The sequence below is a fragment of the Homo sapiens genome, chromosome 2, assembly GCF_000001405.40.
Source record: "Homo sapiens chromosome 2, GRCh38.p14 Primary Assembly".
Classification (NCBI taxonomy): Eukaryota; Metazoa; Chordata; class Mammalia; order Primates; family Hominidae; genus Homo; species Homo sapiens.
This window is the reverse complement of record NC_000002.12, coordinates 239,334,308-239,353,776: the sequence shown is the minus strand read 5'-3', so window position 1 is coordinate 239,353,776 and position 19,469 is coordinate 239,334,308. Positions and strand designations below refer to the sequence as shown.

General features: G+C 47.5%; 1 protein-coding gene and 1 non-coding gene across 27 annotated transcripts in view, besides 1 other annotated feature; both read left to right on the top strand.

The window, feature by feature from the left end:
- HDAC4 (histone deacetylase 4) overlaps positions 1–19,469 on the top strand; it is a 353,482-nt gene that overhangs the window by 47,873 nt on the left and 286,140 nt on the right. For all 26 annotated transcript variants that reach the window (NR_198957.1, NR_198958.1, NR_026664.2 and 23 more), the window contains exon 2: positions 859–1,099. Coding sequence is in view for 23 of the 26 variants with exons in the window: in XM_047446489.1 (XP_047302445.1) it covers positions 1,078–1,099 (22 nt within the window). In the remaining 3 variants the exon portion in view is untranslated. The remainder of the gene's footprint in view (positions 1–858; positions 1,100–19,469) is intronic.
- Positions 1,117–1,310: a silencer, noted in NCBI's record as "fragment chr2:240274162-240274355 (GRCh37/hg19 assembly coordinates)". NCBI's record gives its function as "represses an EF-1alpha promoter that drives an FKBP-Casp9 reporter gene in an ReSE screen in K562 erythroleukemia cells {active_cell/tissue: K562}" and the evidence as "EXISTENCE:reporter gene assay evidence [ECO:0000049][PMID:32094911]".
- Positions 1,973–2,053, top strand: MIR2467 (microRNA 2467). The gene has a single exon (NR_039948.1). It is a non-coding gene; the product is annotated as a microRNA 2467 (primary transcript).

Below are 19,469 nucleotides of genomic sequence, written 5' to 3'. Positions count from 1 at the left end.
TTATTTCATAAGCTAATATGACAGAATAAATTTATATTAGTTGGAAGATACTCTGCTTCCTTTCAAAAGCCTAATGTTGGAGAAACTTCTGGAAGGGGTAAGGAAGGTGTCTCTAGATCAGATATTTTGAACCAGGGGATGATATTATCCCCCAGAGGACCTTTGGCACTCCCTGGAGACATTCTTGGTTGTCATGACCTGGAAGATGCTGCTGGCATCTGGTGTGTGGAGGCCCAGGATCCTGCTAAATATCTTATAATGTGTATGGCAGCCCTACACCCCAACACCTAAATACGCAAACCAAAATCCCAGTGGTACTGAGGCTGAGAAACCCTGCTCTCTGGAGACATTTTTACATGTCTGTGATTTACTAACAAAAATCCCACTGCTCGTATTTGTAGAAATGATTCCGTCGAACTGTTCTATCAGTCCTTGGTCAGAACAAGGATAAAGAAGGAAGTTGGTGGGGCGTGGTGGCTCAAGCCTGTAATCCCAGCACTTTGGGAGGCTGAGGTGGGTGGATCACTTGAGGTCAGGAGTTTGAGACCAGCCTGGGCCAACATGGCAAAACCCCGTTTCTACTAAAAATACAAAAATTAGCTGTGCCTGGTGGCATGCACCTGTGTTCCCAGCTACTCGGGAGGCTGAGGCAGGAGAATTGCTCGAACCCAGGGTTGCAGGGGTGGTGGAGGTTGCAGTGAGCCCAGATCGTGCCACCACACTCCAGCCTGGGCGATAGAGCAAGATTCTGTCTCCAAAAAAAAAGAGGAAGTCATCATTTCCCTAGTTGGATGTTGTTTTCCAGATCGGAACTTCCATGTTGTAACTCCAGTCTCTTTTCTCCTTCTGACCTTGCAGGTTCATCTGCAGAAGCCAGCGGACGCCTCTGTTCAACTTGTGGGTTACCTGGCTCATGAGACCTTGCCGGCGAGGCTCGGCGCTTGAACGTCTGTGACCCAGCCCTCACCGTCCCGGTACTTGTATGTGTTGGTGGGAGTTTGGAGCTCGTTGGAGCTATCGTTTCCGTGGAAATTTTGAGCCATTTCGAATCACTTAAAGGAGTGGACATTGCTAGCAATGAGCTCCCAAAGCCATCCAGGTAAGGCCGGGTCATTTCTTCTCTGGGCACACAGCGGGGCTTTCTTTGCCCAAAGTAGAAGTTCTTGTGACTGCAGCTTGCTTTCTGGATTTGAGACTTTTGTTTTTCTTGATAGTGGTCACTGTTGGTTTTTGACAGCACAAAGTGCAAAATGGATGGTTTATTCTTCCTCTTGGTGAAAGAAGAATGATAAAACCTGGGAGGATGTGGAGTCAAGTCTGCGACCCCGGTTTGCAGGCTGACTTGAGAGGCACACAGGTTTCCTCGATGCTTTTTGACAAGGGTGATGTTGAAAGGTCAGGTTGTGATGTGGAGAGCTGGTTTCTTGCCCAGTGTCTTTGTTGTTTCATGAGGGGTTGTGTGAGGGGTGGGAGTGCTCCTCCAACTGGGCGTCTGGGCTGTCTGGGAAGAAGCTCATGTTCCCACTGAGGTCGTGGCCACAGTTGCTCCTGGTGTTTGAGGGCCTCTGTGAGGGGCTGCACTAAGCATTTTACAAGCATTTAGTACAGCCCCAGATCATCTCAGGCCTGGAGGGAAGAAGTAATTTGCCTGAGGTCACAGAGCTGGTAGGTGGGGGACCCACATGATTGGGAAGCAAGCTTGTCCTGCTCTGAGCTTCAGAAGCATGTCATGGGCCCATCCATTTACGACTTCACACTTTCTGTCCTTGGAAAGTCACCGAGAGCGTGCACCATAATGAAACCTCGAGGCCTGCCGCCGACCTGCCTGAGTGTGGGGCTCCTGCAGAGCCAGTCCTGTGCTGCCCAGCTTCCTGCCACTTCCAGCGCACCGTGGCCTTCAAGGGCACTTAGCCATCGACTTCTGTCTTGCGTCCACATGAGAGAGAAGACGGTGGCCACTGGACAGACGCTTGGACAGGCACCTGAGGCTCTGTTAGCCTTGGCTCTGGGTCCTGCTCCTTAGAGCAGAGGCAGAGAGGCTCAGGGTCTGTCTGGGTCACTCTCTTTGAGATTGCCGGAACGCTTACACACATCTTTCCCTGGGTGGAATCGTCTTTGTCTGAAAATTCCAGAGGGCAAGATTCCAGGTTTTTTTAGATATGAAAGTTTTATTGAGTTAAATTGTTTATGTATTGACTGATGTAAAGAAATGGTTTATGATCATTCCAAGACAAAATTAAGCGCTATGGCTCAAAGTGTCTAAATAGACATTGAATGGAGCTGGCTCTCTCCCTCCTACACTGGGCTGCTGTTGGGTGAGAGTGTATCTTTTTTCTGTGTCTAAACATAGTGTGATGTGTGTGAGCATTTTCATAGAGTATAATTCTATAGGCAGGGCCCTGTGTTTTACATTCTGTCCATTTTAATGTGTTATAAGCATCTTTTGGTATCAGTATGTGTGCAAATATAACTTGCTCTTTTGATACCTTGCGAATGGATATTTATGTGGTTGTAGCAGTGTTTATACCAATTCCAAATTGGCATCAAACAATTATTATACATATATTTTGTAAACTTCTAAGTATCACTACTAGACAAATTCCAGGAAGTGGAAGCTGGGTCAGTGAGCCCGTGCACTTAAAACATCATTAGGTTGACTGTCAAATTGCTCCAGAAGCCTCGTTCCAACTGATCTTCCTAATTCCAGTGTAAGAGGATGCATATTTTTCATTTGTGCTGTACCAGCACTGGGTAGGTTCAGTCTCTCTCATTTTTGTCAGTGTGCTATGGGAAAATTATTGTTTGAGTACACTTGATTATTTTAATGGGGGTGCATATTTTTGTATGACTTGGTGTACACATAATCATAATTTGTACATGCTCTGCAGGCATTTGAAGAGAAAGTATGCTCTTAGGATTTTGTTTCAGTCTAAAGACGTCTGTATGTATGTATCAATATTGTATTTAAAGTTCTCGGCCGGGCGCAGAGGCCCACAGCTGTAATCCCAGCACTTCGGAAGGTCAGGGTGGGCAGATCACAAGGTCAAGAGATTGAGACCATTCTGACCAACATAGTGAAACCCCATCTCTACTAAAAATACAAAAATTAGCTGGGCGTGGTGGCGTGTGCCTGTAGTCCCAGCTACCCAGGAGGCTCAGGCAGGATAATCGCTTGAACCTGGGAGGCAGAGGTTGCAGTGAGCTGAGATTGCGCCACTGTACTTCAGCCTGGCGACAGAGCAAGACTCCGTCTCAAAAAAAAAAGTTCTCTCATTTATATATATTTTATTTATATATAGGAGGATATGTATCCTTTCTTTATATGTTGTTTTAATTATATATTAACTCAGTTGAGTTATTTAAATCAGTATAGCTTTACTTATTTTTTTCTGTCTGCTCGATTTCTTGGAAAAGTGTATTTTTCTACTGTGATTATAGTCTTATAATATTCTTTTTACATTAATAACCATTTTTTGCTTTATATAGTTCAGTGTTTTTTTTTAAAGCTTAAAAATTAATGACTGTTCTTTTGGTAGATCAGGTCTCTTATCAAAATATAATATATTTCTCTTTGTTTAATGTTTCTTTGACCGAGAGCTTATAGTGTTTCATGAGGTATTTCTACCCTTGGTTTCTTTTGGCTAACAAATATTTCTCCATCCGCTTGTCTCTAACCTTTTCAGGCCGGGTTCTTTGAGGCTCAGCTCTGGAAACCGCGGGGTGCTGGGTTTGTTTGGCCTTTTCTGTGGGAATTTCAGCCGCTGCGGTTCAGTTTGATCACCGGCCTGCCCGGGCCTGTCCTGCCCATGTGAGTTGGGTTGTGTGCGCCTTATTGCCACCCACGACCTCTCCATTCTCTCTCTCAGTGGGTTGGAGGCTGAAGACAGGCCGCACTGGTGAGGGCAGGGCTGCCCCTTGGCCCAGCCCATTCTCTGCTCTCCATCTGTGCAGGGGGTACAGCTGAGGTGGTTTGCCTGGGGCCTGAAGTCTGCTGGCTGCCTCCTCTGCCCTGTCCGCTGTCATCTTTCCCTGCCGTGTCTGCCCTTCCGCCCGGAGGTCCCTTGGGAGGCAGGACCCCTTGTGCCCAACACGTGCATACCACCACCTGCACACACTGGCTGGTGGCCCAGCGGCCTCTGCCCACGTCTCAGGCGGGGGATGGGGCTTGCCCAGAACCGTGCCCTCCCTCCTGGGCGAGGCCCACTCGCTTGTGTGCCTTCCCAAGCAGCTCCATCCCCAGAGATCTCTAGTTTCGGGAAGTTCCTCTGTGTTTCTTGTCAGCTGATGCACCTGTCCGTCCGCTCCCAGGCATTGCTGGAAGTGCTTTCCAATCCTGCTTTTCATCATTTTAGTGGGTTTTGGGAGGAAGAGAAATCATTAATACTAAAGGATTCAGTTTGCTCTCTTGAGCGGGAAATTTCTAGGTGTGTCAGAGCACAGCCACGGAACCGCTGTCCCTTTTCCTTGAGCCGAGGAGCCGAGTCCTGGCAACGTGGTGTTCGGGGCCTACCTGGCTGCACCTCCCCTCCCTCCGTGTGTCTCTCGTGCCGTCCTCTGCTAGCTGGCCCTGTCCTTCGCCCTGCCCACCCGGCTCACTCTTGCCTGCCTGGCTCACCCTTGCCTGCCCATCTGGCATGGGGGCCCTGCTCCTGTGTGGCCTGGTGTGGGTGCCCGTGCCGCCCTCACTCCCTGGGCAGGCCGGGCTGGGGGAGTCCAGCCGCCCATGGGCCCCCTCTCACATTTGTCATGTGACTTGGCTTTGCCCTGCTGATGAAGTGCCCTTCTAGTGCAGTGTGTGTGGCTTTCCTCTCCTGTGTTCTGTGAAAGTCCTCTGCTGCTGGGTGAGTTTTGTGTTACGGTTTTATTGCTGTTCCCGCTGAACTTTGCCAGAGCCAGGCCCTGGTTCTCTGACGTCAAAGCTGCTTAACTGTTGGGATTTTATTGCTCTAAAGAACGATTTCTAATGATGTGAGCGGCCTGAGGGAAGAACCTGGATTGACTTAGCCTGGAAGGGCTCTCCTTTGAAAGGAGGCCCTGGAGCCTTACGCCCCTTGCCCGGCCAGCCCTCCACACCCTCCCTGAGGGGATGCGCTGTGGCAGGGCAGGATGCGTTTGTCAGGACACAGAGCCTCTGCCTTGAAGCCAGAGTCCCTGGCATGAAACCGGGAGTGTGGACGGAAAGCCCACGGGGGCCTGCTGGCAGGACAAGCTACGCCTCCTTTTTTTTCTCCCATTCCCTTGTTTTCCTCCAAGGACAGTTCTCCAAGTAACTGTCCTTGTCTTTCCTTGTGGTTAAGGGCTTAGGATACTGGTGACTTGACTGGCCAGCAGGAAAGGCAGACGTTGTTACTTGGCCACCCACTTAACACTACCCCGTCCCTCCAGTGTCATTTACTTTCCCTTCCGGAATGTTCGTGCCTAGAGAAAGTCTTGCCCAGAAAAGTTCTCAGTGTCAAGGAGCCCCGCAGTGGATTTGCTGGGACGTGGATTTGCTGGGACGTGTCTGTGGTCAGCGGGATGGTGCTCTCGATAGGAAGCAGTGCATTTGCTGGGACGTGGATTTGCTGGGACGTGTCTGTGGTCAGCGGGATGGTGCTCTCGATAGGAAGCAGTGCATTTGCTGGGACGTGGATTTGCTGGGACGTGTCTGTGGTCACCGGGATGATGCTCTCGATAGGAAGCAGTGGATTTGCTGGGACGTGTCTGTGGTCACCGGGATGATGCTCTCGATAGGAAGCAGTGGATTTGCTGGGACGTGTCTGTGGTCACCGGGATGATGCTCTCGATAGGAAGCAGTGCATTTGCTGGGACGTGGATTTGCTGGGACGTGTCTATGGTCACCGGGATGATGCTCTCGATAGGAAGCTGGTTGAGCAGGCAGTGGTCGGTAACTTGAGCATCCTCTCGCTCCTGGAATCTTGGTGCGAGGTACGGATAATGTTTAGTTCAAAACAAAATAAGTGGCCGGGTGCGGTGGCTCAAACCTGTAATCCTCGTGCTTTGAGAGGCCGAGGTGGGCAGATCATTTGAGGTCAGGAGTTCGCGATCAGCCTGGTCAGCATGGTCAAACCCCGTCTCTACTAAAAACACAAAAATTAGCCAGGCGTGGTGGCACGCGCCTGTAGTCCCAGCTACTCGGGAGGCTGAGGCAGGAGAATCGCTTGAATCCGGGAGGTGAGGTTGCAGTGAGCCGAGATGGTGCCACTGCACTGTAGCCTGGCCGACAGAGCAAGACTGTTGTCTCAAAACAAAAAAAAAGGATTTTGTGGGAAACGTGTGTAACTTAAGATCAGTGTGTTCATTTGGGCCATTCTATGATTTCTTAATATTCTGTTCAGTCTGAGCTACCCCCATCCACATAAAAGCAGCTAAAAAGTCTCTGTCCACAATGACTTGGTGATGAGTGAGTTCATGGTAATACAGTTGCTTCAGACCACTGTTGAGTGTTAACCCTGTGAGTCCAGGGAGAAGGCTCTCCTCTGGGATTGCTTCCAGTCCTCATGTTCTGCTCTAACTTTATTTGATCTTGAATCTGTTTATTTTAACTATTGTGGCCGCCAAGATTATTATATTTTAATATAGAAATGATCCATAAAGATGCATTTTTATGGCATTTAAATAATGCTCTGCAGTGGTTGAATGTCTCAGGAATACCACAAAGTGTCTGTGTGTATGTGTGTGTTAGAGTGTGTGTTAGGGTGTGTGTTTTAGACAGGTTGTATGTGTGTGAATCAGGGTGTATGTGTGTTAGGGTGTGTGCGTGTGATGGGGTGTGTGTTTTAGACAGGGTGTGTGTGTTAGGGTGCGTGTGTGTGTTTTAGACACAATGTGTATGTGTTAGGGTGTGTGTGTGTTTTAGACAGGGTGTGTGTGTGAGAGACAGGGTGTGTGTGTTAGGGTGTGTGTGTTTTAGATAGGGTGTGTGTGAGACAGGGTGTGTGTGTTAGGTGGTGTGTGTGTGTTTTAGACAGGGTGTGTGTGTGTGAGACGGTGTATGTGTTAGGGTGTGTGTTTAGACAGGGTGTGTGTGTCAGGGTGTGTTTTAGAGCGTGTGTGTTAGGGTATGTGTGTGTTAGGGTGTGTGTTTTAGACAGTGTGTGTGTTTTAGACTGTATTAAGATATGGGTGTGTGTTTTAGACAGAGTGTGTGTGTGTTAAGGTGTGTATGTGTGTTTTAGACAGGTGTGTGTGTTATGGTCTGTGTGTGTGTGTGTGTGTGTGAAGGTGTGTTTGTGTGTTTTAGGGTGTGGTATGTGTTAGGGTGTGTGTGTCTTAGACTGTGTGTTAAAGTATGGGTGTGTGTTTTGGACAGGATGTGTGTTAAGGTATGTATGTGTGTTTTAAACAGGGTGTGTGTGTCCTAGACTATGTGTTAAAAGTATGGGTGTGTGTTCTAGACAGGATGTGTGTTAAGATGTGTGTATGTGTGTTTTAGACGGGTGTGTATGGTCTGTATGCGTGTGTGTTAGGGTGTGTTTGTGTTTTAGGGTGTGGTATGTGTGTTAGGGTGTGGGTGTCTGTGTATTAAAGTATGGGTGTGTGTTTTAGACAGGATATGTGTGTGTTAAGGTATGTATGTGTGTTTTAGACAGGGTGTGTGTGTTTTAGACAGTGTGTGTTGGGTGAGTGCATGTGTGAGATGGGGGTGTGTGTGTTTCAGACGGTGTGTATGTGTGTTAGGGTGTGTGTGTGTTGGGTGAGTGCATGTGTGAGATGGGGGTGTGTGTGTTTCAGACGGTGTGTATGTGTGTTAGGATGTGTGTGTGAGAGTGAGTGCAAGTGTGTGAGACGGTGGTATATGTGTTTCAGACGGTGTGTATGTGTGTTAGGATGTGTGTGTTTGTTAGAGTGAGTGCACGTGTGTGAGATGGGGGTGTGTGTGTGTTTTAGACGGTGTGTATGTGTGTTAGGGTGTGTGTGTTTGAGTGCATGTGTGTGAGACGGGGGTGTGTATTTTAGACGATGTGTATGTGTGTTAGGGTGTGTATGTGTGTTTGAGTGCATGTGTGTGAGACGGGGGTGTGTGTGTTTTAGACGGTGTGTATGTGTGTTAGGGTGTGTGTGTTAGGGTGAGTGCATGTGTGTGAGATGGGTGTGTGTGTTTTAGGGAGTGTGTGTTTTTTAGACAGGGTTGAGAGTGTTGTTTTACACAGGGTGTGTGTTAGGGTGTGTGTATGTGTGTGTTAGGGTGTCCGTGTGTGTGTGTTGGGTGTGTGTGTGTGTGTTAGACAGGGTCTTGCTGTCGCCCAGGCTGGAGTGTGGTGGTATGCACCTCAGCCTCAGCTTCCTGGGCTTCAGCGATCCTCCCACCTCAGGCTCCCGAGTAGCTGGGACCACCTCTGGCATGCACCTCTGCATGCCACCACGCCCAGCTAATTTTTAAAATTTTTTGTGGAGACCGAATCTCACCATGTTGTCCAGGCTGGTCTCCAACTCCTGGACTCAAGCAATCCTGCCCCCTCGGCCTCCCAAAGTCCTGGATTACAGGTATGAGCCATTGTATCCGGCCAGGAGTACTACAAAGTTTTAAGGGGCAGAAAAGGAATTTTGAAGACCTGCAATTAACCCAAGACCTTGATTCTGAGCTTCTGGTGACAGGTGGGTTGCAGATTCTGAGCATGGCCCTTGCTCAGAAACAAGGTGGCGGGAGGTAATGAGAAAGCCTGGGAGCTGAGAGTGGCTTTGCAGGAGGCCCAAGAGGGCTCCCAGGAGGAGGGGGTGTGTAGGCAGCAGGTGCAGCCAGCTGGCAGGAGTCCAGGGGAGCTTGGACAAGGTGGCAGGGCCTGAGAGCATGCTTGGTGCCAGCTGGAGAAGAGCTTGTTCATGGCCCCTGCGGTGGGCAGCCCTGGGGGTTCTGGATAGGAGGGAGTGAGATTGAACCCCGAGAACGTGGGAGAGTAGACCAGCCCTACATCAACTGGAGGTTTTAGAGAAGGACAACAGAAATGCCTGGATAGTTCCGGCTGATGTTGGGGTGGGAGATGCTTTTGATCCCCATGTACTGCTTGCTTCCGCTTTCTAAAGGCAAGGTTTCAAAAATACTTGTGTACGTTTTCTGACGCACAGCACCGCCTGTCTGAATGTGCATCCTCCCAGCCACCCGGCACGGGGCGTCTGCAGCTCTCAGATTGTCACTAGCCTGGATTCTCCATGCCATCATTATCTGGGATCTTAATCAGTCAAGGTTTGTTCTGGAAATCATGTAGACATAAGGACTTATTTTTCAACCTACTTTTTTTTTTGATCCTCAAATTGTGTTTTGTCTTTTAAAAATCACGAGTACTCAGTCATTATGAAGAGCTCAGAAAATTCGCTGTCAATGGAGCATTGATGGTTTGTTTTGGCAATTCTCTGAAAATTCTTACACAGTTTGTGGAACATTTGCATTTGTGTCCCTTTTTCAAAGCCACTATTGTAGAAATGCAAATTTCTGAGTTCTGAGATGCTGAATGTTGGATGATTAATGATATTGAAATTTAAGAATGAACTCCCGGTATGTATTTGACATAGAAAACGCGGTGTGAGAATCATTAGAAACCATTGAGCACAGCTTGGCGGGGAACAGAAAGGCTGTGATTGAGGCACCCGGCAGTGGGGGCAGGTCGCACGTGGACAGGTGTGCAGGTGCGTGGCTGCCTCCGGGTGCCAGGCTGTGTGAGGCGGGAGCTACTGCCATCAAAGGTCTGGCTCTACTTGACCATAGGTGTTCAAAACTCATCATAATAATACATCAGCCTTGATGACTTGCTTGCTCAGTCAACCCCACTGCGCGTTTAAGAGAACGAAATGAACAGCAGGTTTGTTCTGAGTTTTGCTTGCTGCTACTCCATTTGTGCTTGCATATAGCCTGTGACGTGAGCTGGACACGTTATTTCTGTTTTGTAGATGAGGAAACCAGTGTTACTGCTATCGAGTGCTTAGGTAGGCTGAGGCTGGGCAGCGCATCAGAGGCCAATCTGGCACCGCTAGAATCGGTCACCTTCCCTCAAGGAGTGTGCGCCTCTCTGCGGCAGAACACTGGGCACCTGGGACCTGAGAGGCATTGAGCCTGTCTGCTTGTGTGAGCTCCCTGGCCAGGGCAGGCAGGGCAGGCAGGGCAGCAGGCACTCTGGTCCAGTGTGGTTCATGCCACGAGAGGGATGGGCTGGGCATGGAAGCCCCCTGAGGGATGTGGAGGCCAAGGGAGGCTGTCCCCTAGAAAGGACCTGAGGCTGAAACAGCCTTGTGAGGAGGGTTGGTGGGCCTCCCGCAGGTCCTGCCCCGCCGGCTGGGGCCCTGTCCTGCAACGTAGGCTTTTTTGTGTCCCAGTTGGTTTCAACGAGCATGGGTTTTGCCATCAGGGAACTTCATCTGTCCTTCCTCTGTCTTTTTGTGAACTTTCTCTGAGCTCTCTTTGCCGGTCCTTAGAATGTTGGGACTGAAGGAGTGACTGGGTGATTGGCATAACCAAGCGAACTCTGAGATTTGGGCTGAAACTTTCACGTTGTGGCCACTTAGCATCCTTCTCTTTGTTTATTTCATGAGAACATGGCAAAAAATGGGCACTTTGGGGAAAATTATAATGAAAATTACAGTTAATTTTAAGAAATTAAAATTAAGACAAAAATCAACTGAGGCATATACCTAAACTTTTTTGAATTATATCTGGCCCTGAGCTTTTAAACTGGTTTGCTTTCAGCCACCTAATCAGTAAGACACTGGGAGTGCTGGCCCTTCAGGAGTGATACGCATTGGTGGGGATGGAGGCCTTGGGGCGTTATTTTCATGTTTGCTTCTCTCTCCTTCCCCCTTTTTAGGAAAACAAATACAAATAGAAAAGATAAATTCTGCCTCTCAGGGAGCTAGGCACAGCTGATTTGGAGACCGAAGCCCATAGCCAGGCCTTTGGGAGCCCCCTTGACAGTGTAGGCGGCTGTTTCCCTCCAAGACGACGCTGGGCCTGCGGGCTCTTGGTTGTCTGTGAGGATCCTGAGCCCGGCTGGCTTATGGTGGCTTTGTTCTCACTGGACCCCAGGCTCCCTCATCTCCCTCAGCCCTCACTGTACTCTCCTCCATCTCTGCCCAGTGTCCCCTTGCTGCCTTTCCTTCAGTGCTACAACACGGACTCAGGACCCAGTGTGGTTCCATGCTGACGGGCAGCTGTAGAGCTGTTGGGATATTACCTTGAAACACAGTGTTCAGGATGACTGTCATTTCCTAGCTTTCACCAAGACTCTGTACTTTCAAAAGGAGTAGTAAAACTTATTGTAACGTATTTGTTTTTTTCAAAATACAGAAATGACCTAAATGTACTTATTTTTGTTCCATTTGAAATAGCATTTATAAAGAATTAGGACAAGTTGGTCTGTGTGTCTTAGTGTTCATTATTTAGTGATGGTCATTAACTGGGGGAGTTTTTTCTTTTCTGTATACAACTACATTCTCAAAGGTTCAAATTAGCTCTTTGAGTTTGTATTCACTTGAGATGTCAGAATTTGTTATTATGAAGCCACTGTCTTCAGAGCCTTTCCCTAAAAGAAGTTTTGTGATTGGAGCCAGTTTTTTTTTTTTAATTTTAAATTTTAAAATGCTTAGACCATTTTCTTAGAAGATTGCTTCCATAATGTGGTTGTTTAGGTGATGCCTTTGTTCGTTCAGCCTGCTATCATAAAATACCTTAGGGTGGATGATATGTAAATAATAGAAATTTCTTGCTCACAGTTCTGGGGGCTGGGAAGTCCAAGATCAAGGTGCCAGCGGACTTGGTGTCTGGTGAGGGCTGCTCTCTGCTTCACAGATGGTGCCTTCTTGCTGTGTCCTCACCTGTTGGAAGGGGTGAGGGGTCTCACTTGAACCTCTATAATAAGGGCACTAATCCTGTTCCTGAGAGTCCATAACTTAATCACTCTCCAGAGGCCCCACTTCTTAATACTGTCACATTGGGTATTAGATTTTAACACGTGAATTTTGGGGGGGACGCCAACATTCAGACCACAGCAGCTGCTAAAGCCAAGAGAATACCTTTCATTATAAGAGCTAATGGTTTTCTTTCAATTAGTTTGCATTCATAGCCAAAGGTATTCCTTTTTAAATACCTATGAGTTTTCCTAGGAAATATGTAGAAATTGGATGCTTATTAACACTGTGTTTCTCAGTGACTTGTTGATTCAGTAGGGTTTGTGAAATGCTGTTGGAGTTTCAGGCAAGGATGTGGAGTCTGTTCTGAGCACACTCAGGGTTTCCATGTGTTGTCCTGAAAGCCTTTCTCACCTCTTCACATCTAGGGTAAGGCCGTATTGAGGGGAAGTTCCTCCCTCCCTGTTAGGTAGTGTGATGCAGAATTCTTGACACTCTTTGTTTTCACATGGACTGAATCCAAATCAGGTGGGGCTGATTCTTCCAGCCCTGTCTCCTCATCCCGGTCTGACACTGCACAACACAAACCTTCCTGCTGCAGGCTCACCGAGGTGCTGCCTGGCCCTGTCTTTGCCTGAACACCTGCAGTCTCAATGTGGCTGTGCGGGAGCAAAGGCGGCCTTCGCCCCACGTCTCTCTCATGTGCTTCCATAGCACTGCCTTGTTTTTGTGAAAGGATCGGGGAGGGAGGAAGGCAAGGTTAATTTTTTCTTTCTGATGTACTAGTGGATAAAAAGAGTTCTAGAACATTTGAGGAGGCCCTAGGGGAAACTGGAGACATGGAAAGCAGAGGTTTTCGTTGGTAAACCAGAGAGATGAGGAGTTTTAGTTTTTGTAGTGCCCGATGCATTGTACGTGTTGAAAGCCGAGTCCTTGATGGTAATGGTGGCTCTGATGATGGTGGAGATGGGAGGTTAGGATCCCCTTAGAGATGTTTAGTGGGTGCTGCAGTGAGCCCAGTTTTCTGAGTGACAGGGACTAGGGTGTGACTGCTGAAGAGGGGGCCAGATCTTCAGTGCCCTTTATCTCTGGTGGGCTTCTCATCCTTGGTCTTGCAGCATCAGGATGGGGCCAGGGTGCCTGGCCTGGAGGGGTGGACTTGGGCCGAGGACTGCAGGGCACAGATGTCCTCTCAGTGTGGCCCTCAGCACGGGGAGCCCTGTGGCTTTGAAGCAGATGCTTCATTCAAGGCAGGTGGTTCTTTTCTGAACACAAACATACACGTGAGCATCCCCAAAGGCTGTTTTTGAGAGATGGTGTGTGTCTCCATGTCCAGGCTGTTGTAACAGAATGATAAGGTGCAGAGGCCATCTGACAGCTGGAAGGGTACAGAGGCATCTCTAAGCAGCAGCACCGATGGAGTACCCAGCCTGGAAGTGCTGACACCCCACCATGGTCCTCCTCTGTCCCATGCAGCCCAGCCTTTAGGAGATGCACCAACAGGCATTTGGGTGGCAGACTGGAGCTCAGTGGGGCTGCCCCCACTGGGGCCCCTCTGTAGCTTCTGAGAACAGTTGAATTGTCTATCTGCCTTCACATCTATCTGTGATTTGGTTCCCTTTTGTTCTTCGCCAGTCCTCAGTAGGATTTGGTAAGACGTAATTTCTCGATGGTTCAGGAAGACGGGTGGGGCTGTGTCCATGCTTGCACAGCCTACTGTGAACAGCTGAGCTCACTGCCCTGTGACTGGCTTGGTGTAGCTGAGGCTCAGGGAAGAGCTGGGGTGTCCTGGGGTGAGGGAGCAGCAGCACCAGCAGGACCCCATGCCCCAACTGCTGCAGGGACCATCCTGGCCTGAATGTGTTAGAAACTAGGAGGGTATCTGGGGTGGGGACACATCCCACTCTTCTTGCTTTGTGTTCAGGCCCCCAGCCTCTTTCTGTCATGATGTCTTGATGTCTCCCTACTCAGCTGCTAGCACTTCTGCTGAGGGAAGCAGTCACAAAGGCCGGTGGCCCTGGCCTGAGCATGGATGTGGCTTTCTTGGTTCTTGGCTGCGGTTTCCTTGAACTCTCTGTGGTCTGCAGGACCTGATGCATGAGAATCACATGTGGGGAGGGTGTTTCTTGTGTTTATCAGTGTTTCCATTTCTTTGGAAGTTACCTGGATGCTGTTATGAGTGGATTTGGTGGACTGATTTGCATGGGTGTGGCCTCAAGGACTGCATTTTCTAAGGAGATGGTGTTTTTAATGCCTTAGCCAGGAGATTGCAGGGGGCCGCGGGCCACATGTGTGGTTCTCTGGGAAGATTCTGCTCTGGAGCTCTGCTGAGGGATGTTATTTCAAACTTCAGTACTATCTTCATGAACAAAAGAACAACGTAGGTCTCCGTTGAGTTGCTCACATCACCCGAGAGAGCATGGCTTTGGTGCTCCTCACCCATGTCCAGATCAGAGCATTTAGGCTTCACCTGGGGAATGGACAGGGGCAGGAGCTGGGAGATCACTGCCCAGGGGTGGCTCTGTGTCCGGGGTGACCTGGACTGGGCCCATTGCCTCCTGGGGCTGAGGTTGCTTCCTTTCATCGGGCCCTGTTTCTTTAGAAAGATACTGGGCTTTGACTTTTGCCTTCTGTCGGCACCTGGCCCTGCAGCTGATGGAAACTGGCAGAGCAAAGGACTTCACTGGGACAGTGAGCAGTGGGGCAGCCCTGTGTTTACAGGCAACCCCAGACCCTCTTATGACAGAAGGGGAGGGCAGGGCAGCCGGCCTTCACCTGGATAGGAACAGCAGGTGGCTGATGTATCTGAGTTGGTATATTCATTCAGAGACATTGGTTAAAATTACTTGTCAATATAACATCTTTACCATTGTTTTCTTCAAAGCCAGATTCTGTATTTTCTGATTTTATGTAAACTAAATACATAGTTTTCTTAAATACAGATGACCTCTGCCTTCACAGTTTCTTTGGATACCTTTCAAGTCAGTTTAACACACATGCTCTCCGGAAACAAAACTCAGCCACTGGGGAACCGAACCTACGCTTTTGGTAGAATCTCAGCCTTGGGGGGAGCCTGGAGGCCCTGAGCCCTGGATGACACCTGCTCTGGAATCCTCCACCAGTGGCTTTTGAAATGTGGTTGGTGGCTGAATCTCACTTCTGCCTTGGATGCTTATGGAATCTTCTGGATGGACTGAGCTCAGAATCTCATTGAATACTGTGGTCCTCTCAGTCTGAACTTTGTACCTAAAAATCCACGGGAATCTCATAGCAGCTGCTGAGGATTTGGAGAACTCCCTTAGAAAAATAAAAGGAATTTATTTTTTCCTATTTTATGTAGTGGCTATTTAAATTTTGAACATCAAATGGTAGTTTTGGATTTTAAAAGCTCAGTGTGAATAAACTTTGAGCTCAGATGCAGCCGTTCTTTTAGTGTGTCAATTTTAATAGGTGTCATTTGATGTTTGCACTAGGGGGTTGGACGAAGGTCGGTGTGAGAATCTCAGGGATAACTGGGCTGCTGCAGGGGTCAGACAAGGCCTCCTGTAATAGGGATTTTGGGGCACTGATGGAATGAAGGGAAGCGGGAGGAGAGGGTAACGAGTAGAGGCTGCCGCTGCCCCAGTTGTATTAGAGGGTGGTGAGGGACGTGGTGGATAGGAAGCTGCATGGGCCTCCAGGAACTCACTGCACTGGCTTTGAGTCGCGAGAGAGGTGCCACGGGAGGTCTAGAAACCGTGCATTTTGGGACTGAGATAAAACACGTCCAGCTGGTGGCACAGACCAAGCCAGCTGGGAGCGGAGTTGTCTCTCTGTGCTTGTCTGGAGTACCTGCCTGTGCTCTCTGAGCAGCCTCTGCACCTGGCTGGTGGGCGGGGCTGAGCCTCACCTTCAAGGCTGCAGATTCCCTGGCTTTCGGTGTGCTGGGGGATGCCTTCTGCATGGCCTGGCTTTCCTGGGATTTCCAGACCAGATCCACCTCTTTCTCCCCTTTTTCTTTGTCTTTCTGCCCCCGAAGAGATAGCAGTGTACAAAAACAAGCCAGCATTTCTTGTTCTCTTGCTATTTGTAATTGTCCCGAGCCTGGACTGGGTCCAGTCCGCTCATTTATTCTGCCAGGGCCCAGTCTGCAGATCTCAGCCGAAGCCGGTTGTCCTGCCTGGCTCGCTCTGTTCCTGGAAAGCTTTGTCACGCACAGCCAGGGGCCACTTTGGGTGCATCCTGTCTCCCCCGTCGCCGTATGTTTGGGAGCAGAAGTTGGCTCTGGTCAGATATGTGGATGTTAATTTATCCTCATTCTTGGAAGCAAGTTGGGAGCTCAGAGGAAAGGAAGAGCCACAAAATGTCAAACCCAGCAGCGGCCATCTGACTCGGTTGCTCATCGCTATAATATGTGATTAAGATGGAAGTGTTTGATTTCCTCGCTTGCCGGATTTAGGCCTCATTTTGCTTACTCCCGTGAGTCCTGATTTCTTCCTGTTAGAGAGAGGAAGTTTGCAGCGATAACCGACTTGCAGTGGGGTTTTCTGTGAATGGAGCTTGTATTGGTGCGATGTGTGGCGTGGGAGTCCCCACCGGTTAGTGGCTTATGCAGGGTGTGAGTTTCTCTCAAAGTGGACGTTTTCTGCCTTCCCGGAGCCAAAACGTTTATTTCGCCGGTGAGTACAGCTGAGTCTCACGTGCATCTGACAGCAGTGTCTCCGAGCCTTGCCATTTCCTCCACTCCCTCCCTTGGAGCCGTTTGTGTGACAACCTGCTGTTCAGTAAAACCAGTTTAGTGGAGTGGGTGTGTGTTAATTCTAGTCCATGTGTTTAAAAATCAATTCATATGATGAGAATGGCACTTTCCCCCGTGGTCTTCCTCTCAGTAACCCATAGCCCCAGTCCAACCATGGGAAAAACATCAGACAAATTCCAGTAGACACCCTTCCTACAGTCTACTCTTGCCAGGCCCACTCGATATGCCAAGGTCATCAGAAACAAGCATCCTTTGAGAAACTGTCACCACCAGGAGGGATCTCAGGACATGCGACACCTAAGTGTGATGTGGAATTCCTGGATGGGATCCTGGATGGATCTTGGAATACAGTAAAAGACATTAGTGGGAAACTTCAGGAAATCCTAAACTCTAGAATTTTAGTTAATGACAGTAATGTCAGTATTGGTTCCCAATTGTGACTAACATACCGTAGTAAGGTAGGATGCTAATAATCGCGGGGAATGTGCAGGTGGTATTGGTAGGGTATATGGCAGCTCTCTCTACTGTCTACTCAAGTTTTAATAAAATATGTCAAGAATTTTGAGTTCACAAAATGAAGTACATTTATAGATACTCTCTTTTGCTTAATGTTTGTTCATGAATGGCTGTATACTGTAGTTACTTTAGCACCTAGCTTTTACAGTTTTTCCTTTGGGGACTCTTTTTTTTATGGTTGTGCATGGATGTGGTAGAGTAACTTAACAAGTCATTGTTGGTGGACAGGGAGTTTGTTTTCAGCCTTTCCATTGTTGTTATTATAAACATGTAGCCTTGAAGACCGCCAATGTCTAAGTGAACTTTTTAACTGAAGTATCACAGGCATCCAGGAAAGTGCAAGAATCATGACTGCTTAGCTTGATGAACTCTCCCAAAAGGAAGATGCCTGTAACTGCTACCCAGATTGTGAAATGGGACATCCCAACACCCAGAAGCCCCGTATATGTCCTCTCTCAGTTACTGTACCCTCACTCTCACACCCTCTAGATACCACTTCTCTAGCTTCTAACATGAGTTTCTCCTGGTTTTGAACGTCATATAAATCACGTAATACTTATTCTTATTGTCTGGATTATTTCACTTGACAATATGTTAGATTTATTGATATTGTGGCTTATAGTAGTAGTTTCTTCATTTAATGGGTATATAATATTTCATTGTATGAACATATCACAAATTATTTATTGGTTCAATTGCTGATGACATTTTGGTGGTTTCCAGTTTGGAATTATGTATAATGCTACTGTAACATTCTTGTATATTTCAATTGGTTCATATAAGTATGCAATTCTTTTGATAAGGTGTATGTGTGCCAAACAGTTCTTCAAATTGATTGTACCAATTTACACTCTGACCTATAGAATGTTGCTCTGTCCTTGCCAATACATGGTACTGTAATTCTTTTTCATTTTAACTATTGTAGTTTCATTTGTATTTCCCAGATTACTAAAAATGTTGAATACCTTTTCATACGTTTATTGACCAACTAGATGTCATCTTTGGTGGAGAAGTTTCTATTCATTTAAGAAATTGGTTTGTCTTTATTTTTCTTACTGAGTTGTAGGAGCTATTTCTGTACACTGGCTATGAATGAGCTTTTTGTTGTTTGTTGCTATTTTCTATGTGTGTGCTGCGTTTTCCCTTTCTTAATGGTGTTTTTTTTTTTTTTTTTTTTTTGCTGAACAGATGCTCTTAATTTTAATAGTCCAATTTAATAGTTTTATCTATGCCTATTTGAAGATATTCTATATTATTTTTGATAAACTTCATTGTTCTATCACTCATTTAGATCTGTGATCCACTGGGAATTTTTTTTTTTTTATGTGTGAGGTAGGGATTGAGAGTTACTTTTCCGTTTGGAAATTCAGTTGGCCTAACAGTATTTATTTAAAAGAGTCATCCTTTCTTCTCTGCTATCCAATGCAACTTTGTCATAAGTGAAATAAATTATATAAATGGATCTGTTTTTGCACTTTATTCTAGTTCATTGGTCTGTTTGCATATCTGTGTACCAGTGCAACACTGTCTTAACTAATAGATTTGCAGTTAACCATAGTATCTAATAATGTAGGTCTTCCAACTTTTTAAAACTTTTCAAAGCTTGTTTTGGTTCTTTTTAGCCCTTTGCATTTCCATATGGATTTTTTTTTTTTTTTTTTTTGAGATGGAGTCTTGCTCTGTCTTCCAGGCTGGAGTGCAGTGGCACGATCTTGGCTCACTGCAAGCTCCGCCTCCCAGGTTCACGCCATTCTCCTGCCTTAGCCTCCCCAGCAGCTGGGACTACAGGTGCACGCCACCATGCCCAGCTAATTTTTTTGTATTTTTTAGTAGAGGGGGGTGTTTCACCGTGTTAGCCAGGATGGTCTTGATCTCCTGACCTTGTGATCCACCTGCCTCGGCCTCCCAAAGTGCTGGGATTACAGGCATGAGCCACCACGCCCGGCCTCCATATGAATTTTAAAATCAGCTTTTCAATTTCAACAGAATACCTGCTGTGGTCTCAATTGGGATCCACTGATTTGCATATGAAATCAGTTTATTAGGAGTCTTCTAATCTACGAATATGCTACGTCTCTCTATTTTTTTCGAGCATCTGTAATTTCTTTCGATCATATTTTGTAATTTTCAGTATAGAGGTCTTAGTTTTTTTTTATTTGTTTGTTTTGAGATGGAGTCTTGCTCTGCTGCCCAGGCTGGAGCGCAGTGGCACAATCTCAACTCACTGCAACCTCCGCCTCCCAGGCTCAAGCAGTTCTCGTGCCTTAGCCTCCTGAGTACCTGGGATTACAGGCACATGCCACCATGCCTGGCTAATTTTTTCTATTTTTTGTAGAGACGGGGCGTCACCATGTTGATCAGGCTGGTCTCGAACTCCTGA